The following is a 5,264-nucleotide window of genomic DNA, read 5'->3' on the forward strand; positions in this document are numbered from 1 at the left end:
GGCAAAGGTCACAATCTTCCAATCAATCTAGCCCAACAACCCAGTTAATCAATTCTACCTCAGACGTACTTCCTTGTGTTTACCTTTCTCTGGGAACATCAGCCCAGCCTAGTTCCCAACCCCTGCCAGACCTGTTCTCCCCCAGCTGAGGCCACCAGATCTGTGCCTGCAGGCCAACCCCCTCCCTGCTGGGCTGGCCCTAACCGAATGCCCAGTGTGGGAAATTGAATCCTTATCCTGTTCCACCACTTTAGAACTAGAAACTGCCTTGTTCTTGGCAGAACTCCGCCTCATTGCCGGGACTGGGGTCTGGCCAGAGGCAGAAGCCTGAAATCTGATGCTGCTCCCCAGCTTTGGACTTCTGAGAATCATCCAGCCCCGAGAATTTCTGGCCACCGAACCCTGTCCACTGTCCTATCTGCAGCCTGAGGCTGACTACCTGCTTAGACAGTCCGCTTTTCTTAAAAGCACAAACCTACCTGCTCCTGTGTGCTGCTCCCCAGGCTACTCATCATCCAGCAGCCTTAGCTGGGCTCCCCCACCCCCTGTGTAACACCTGGACATCCACCAGTGCCTGCCCCCTCCAAAGCCTTTTTTTTTTTTTCTACATCCTTCTTTCATATGTACACATTTCCCAAGATTTCACACTGATGTAAATTCTCTTTTCCGGATATTCTGTCCTTTGGCAATCTCACCCACTTCTGGGGTTTCAAGTAGCAGCCTAGGAGGAAGAGGCCCATGAATATAAGGGTCATTTTCAAGTTAAAATCACCAGAGCCCAAGACTAATGGGCAGGAGAGGGAGGAGACAAGGTGGGAGTTGAGAAAAAAGCTGAGCCCCGAGGAAGCTGGCCCCTCCCCACAGCTGCTAAGAGAAAGACCCAGGCTCAGTCATCTCTGAATCCTCCCAGCCTTGGCTGCACTGCCACGTATAGATGGGTACAGAGTCTTTGCTGGATGAATGAGTGAATAAATGAATGGCTGCATAAACAAGTTGCTACTTACCTCTCTGGATCCTAGTGCATTTACTGAAGCTGTCCTCCCTCCTGAAGTGGGGCATACACGAGGCCAGGAGAAGGGGTTAAAGCCAACCAAGTCCAGGGAGAAACCCCTAGATTTCCTGCAGGATTTGCACAGGAACGTGTTGCAAGGTGTCTCCTCCGAGAATTCACTGAGTCCCTTCAGGAGACCCACAGAGCATAGAATGGGCCCCCAGACTTTGGAGCAGCACCCGGCTCCTACTGTCTCCCTAGGAGACCGTGGGTCCCACCAGCTTTTATTTTCTATTCAGCAACACTATTGCCTATGTTTATGGATAGGACTGTGTTGAGCAAGAGTTGACCTTTATTATCTTAATTCAATCTTCCCAAAGACCTTCTGAGATAGGTACTTTTATTTTCTTCATTTTACAGATAAGGAAATTGAGGTTTAACTATGATCCCATAGCTAATAAAAGTGACAGAACCGGGTTTTTTTCTTTTTACTGAAATGGTATTATTTCATCAGAATTTGCCCACATGCTCAACACTGCTGGAATGTGTTATTTTGAAATCTGACAATGAACTACAGAATGGTAAAAGCGGAAGAGCCTTTGAGACAAATTAGTCTAGCCCAGAGTAGGGAAGAAAAAGAGAGGGAGGCTCAGCCTGCAGGCTGCAAACCCTCCCCTCCCTGTTTGTCCTGCTCCTAAAATAAAACAGAACAAAAGACAGGAAAGTCACTAGATTAGAGAATTCAGCATCTCCCTCCTAATTCCCTGTGATGTGATAATTCTAAGACCCACTTCCTGGAGCAAGAAGAAGCTAAGATCCCTCAGCCTGGCTGATGTGGTTTTGAAAGTGGAAGAGGGCAGGAAGTGTTGTGGTCACTCCCACCCAGCTGTGGGCCTCTTCCCAGAGCCCTCCTCACCAGATGCTGCAAACTCAGACTGCAAATCCAGAAGCCTGCAGCCTTCCGGGGATTGGCTCCCTGCGAAGATAACCCTGTCCTTCAACAAACCCTCGCTTCCTATTTGCATTCCTAATTGGCATCTTCTATTGCTTTTCCTGGTGACTTCATTTTTCACTCTTGGCTAAAAATGGGTCTCTGATGATTTATTCTATCCTGGGTGTTGACAAGCTGAAGAAGTTGTGTGGGGCCTGCTGCCAGTAACCCTGGGTGACGAAGCGTGACTCACCACTCCGAGGTCAGTGGGGGGATGGAAGGCAGGGGAGTCAGCTGACAAGATCTGCTGCTTTGTCACCAGGCCTTCTGCCCTCTTCCATGAGGCAGCTACACTCTAGGAAATGTGAGACGCCCCAGAGCCCTGTGAAGGAGACAGGACAGGCAGCCCACAGGTCTGTCACATCTCAAGGCTGATTCTCTGTTTTGTTTCCCACCCCCAGTGCCAAATGCTAAGCTGCGTTTCAGAGACAGCTCTAAAAGGGAACAAGTACCCAGCCTTCCCTGAATCCCCCAGTCATATTTTCACATACACACAAAGGAGCCTTAGAGATCATTTAAATCAATCTTCTCATTTTCTGGAAAAGAATTTGAGGCCCAGAGAGGTCAAGCAACATGACCAAGGTCATAAAGTGAATTAGAGGTGGAACTGGGAATAGAACCTGGGTCTTCTGTCTCCCAGGCCCTCTGCACTGTCTACTCACCACACTATCAGGAGAATCAGACTTGTGCTGCTGAGTGAATGGGGCCAACTCTCTCCTCCATGAATGGAGGCAACAAGGGCAACCTTTAAGGAGAGATGACTGCTGGAATTTCAGCTCTGCCCTTTGTTCTTCTCTCAGAGGGGTTCTGTGTTTGGCAGACTGTCCCCCCTCTACCTGCAGGGATCCCTGCAGTCCTGGGGGATTGGGGTTAAGCTTTCTCTCTCCCAGAAAACATAGATCACTCTGAAGGCAGTTACAAACTGAGGATGATCCACAGATTATTTCTTGGCTAAGACAAGAGGAAGTTGTCTTAAATAAACCAGTATGAGAGTTTATTGCATTCCATCTGGGTGCTTGATGATCCCATGTCCCTTTTTCTCTCTGTTGACTTTCTAAGTAAACAATTTGTTAGCTCAGAGATGACTCAAATTCATAGAATCAGTAAATGAGAAAGGACTACAAAGTTCCCCTAGTCTGAACCCCCTACACTCAGCCAGTAACCACCTCTACAACATTTCTAGATTGACACTACCCTCAGCTTGAATGCTGAGAAGGATGAACAACTCTTCCTCCCTCAGTGATAGCCCCTTTTTTGCAGGATAGACCTAAGCAGTAGGCGTCAGCCATTCTGTGATGCCAGTTTTGCCCTTTAGGTCAAAATAAAGCAAGTATTTTCTCTTCTTTGCACCACAACTTGTGTCTTTGCTCATGACTTACAGGACAAGCTAAAACAGACAAAACCATTCTTGACCCTCAAAGGCTGAGTGTCCCACTGGTGGGCTAGACAGGGCTCTTACTCAGTTTTGTGTTACCACATGATTACCATGAGTCTTTACAAAACCCTTGCCCACCTCCCCTAGAGAAATTGAGTAAGGAAGAATGATGAGTGCCAAACCTGTCCATTTGCTTCTTGCCAGCAATTCCGGTGAAAGGTCTGACTGAGGAAGAGGCTGAACCCATCTGAGGTATTCTATAATTAGCGTCTTTCTTCCTCTCCCACTTACCATTAAGGTAGACCAGGATATTCATGAAAAATTCCTCATTTGCCATTTCATTCCTTTTGGAAACCACATGTGAATTTCATTCAGTTAAAAAAAGTCAATTCCTTACCCGACACCAGGTAGCATTCTAAAGGATATAACAGTGAATGAAACAGAGGAAGCCCTACCCTCATGAAGCTTATGTTTTAATAAGGAAGACTACCATCAACTAATAGTTAAACATTATAATATCGAGAACTTATATGTACTATGAAGGAAAACAAAGCAAGGAGAGGGCAAAAGGTGATGGAGCTGCTATTGGCGAAGGCAGGCCTAGGAGGAGACATCGATTGAGCAGAGACTGGAGTGGAGTGAAGGATTCCTCCTTGGAAATGTCTGCAGGAAGTGCTGTAAGAGGAAATAACTGCAAGAAAGCCCTGAATGTTGTGCGAACGGGATCAACTAGAATGAGTTTCAGACGACTTTTCATAGGTAGATATGATTTTCAAGCCAAATTTTTCTGATAGCTGAGAAAATTCAACATGGCATTACCTGCCTTTGAAATTCTTTAGCATTCCAGAAATCAGGTGGGACCATCAGGATATGAACAAAGTGGTCAAACAATCTTACCTTTGTGAAACACTGTCTCACATGTTATCCTTTTTAATGATCACAACAACCTCACAAGGTGGATATCATTATCCATAACAAACTGAGGCTGAAGTAAGTGAAGTGTCTAGAGAGTGGCAGAGCCAAGACTAATAGAATCTGGTGTTGTGACTCTGGTCAGTACATTGGTTTACATAAGTACCCAGTTTCTTCACCAAATCACATAGTGTGGAGAAAAACACAAGGACATATGGGCTTGTAAATTTAACCTCAAATCTGAAACAATATCCAATATTGGAGATCAATATTTCTCTGATGGTGTGGCAGTGCACCATTTAGCTCTCTTCCAAGAGGAAATGCCAAAGGGAGCAGAGTTGACTGCCAGCCCCAGTTAGCATCCTTGGGGCCTGCCTCCCTATTGGTATCAAGGCCACACCTCCCCTGGGCTGCTTGTGGTGGGAACAAGTGCTAGCCCCTTCCTGCTGGACATAGGCTGCCTGCAACAAGCAGCCTTTGCATTCAGGGACTCCTGTGGACCTGGCCAGGATTCTCTGAGGAATGTGCTGCAGTCCGAGGAGCTCTGCCCAGTTCTTCCTTCCCTCTCTCCTTTCACAGGTGGCAGGTCAGCACACATGGTCTGAAGGCTGTCTGCCATCTCCTGTTTCTACCCCCTTATCCTTCACAGTCTTTTCTCCCAACACGTCTCTAGCAAAATCAACCTTGTCTTGGCATCTGCTTCTCAGAGGACCCAAATTGGCATAATTGCTAATCTAAGTGGTTTTGTTTTTATGAAAGGGCTAGATTATTAGTTCATTTTATCTTTGTCTTTCTGTACTTGAAATCCCAAAAGAAAAAGAAAAAAAAAATGCTTATTTTCAGTTATCAGTGTCAGACTTTTGGCTTCATTAATTGTTGATTTTAGCAAAAACATAAAGGGAATTTCTGAGATTTTGCTGGTGTGAACTGGGGTGAGGTCTTGGCCTGGGTTCTGGTTTTTATTTTAGCAGTTGCCAATCTGCTTTCACAGGTCC

The 5,264-nt window shown here is 46.2% G+C and overlaps 2 annotated features.

Moving 5' to 3' along the window:
* Window positions 1,700–2,899: an enhancer, noted in NCBI's record as "CDK7 strongly-dependent group 2 enhancer chr15:58624073-58625272 (GRCh37/hg19 assembly coordinates)". NCBI's record gives its function as "activates an origin of replication core promoter dependent on BRD2, BRD4, P300/CBP, MED14 and CDK7 cofactors, with strong dependence on CDK7, by STARR-seq in HCT116 cells {active_cell/tissue: HCT116}" and the evidence as "EXISTENCE:reporter gene assay evidence [ECO:0000049][PMID:35650434]".
* Window positions 2,056–2,350: an enhancer, noted in NCBI's record as "tiled region #459; HepG2 Activating DNase unmatched - State 1:Tss, and K562 Activating DNase unmatched - State 1:Tss". NCBI's record gives its function as "activates a minimal TATA promoter and a strong SV40 promoter by Sharpr-MPRA in HepG2 and K562 cells {active_cell/tissue: HepG2 | K562}" and the evidence as "EXISTENCE:reporter gene assay evidence [ECO:0000049][PMID:27701403]".

This window comes from Homo sapiens, chromosome 15, assembly GCF_000001405.40.
Source record: "Homo sapiens chromosome 15, GRCh38.p14 Primary Assembly".
NCBI classification, from domain to species: Eukaryota; Metazoa; Chordata; class Mammalia; order Primates; family Hominidae; genus Homo; species Homo sapiens.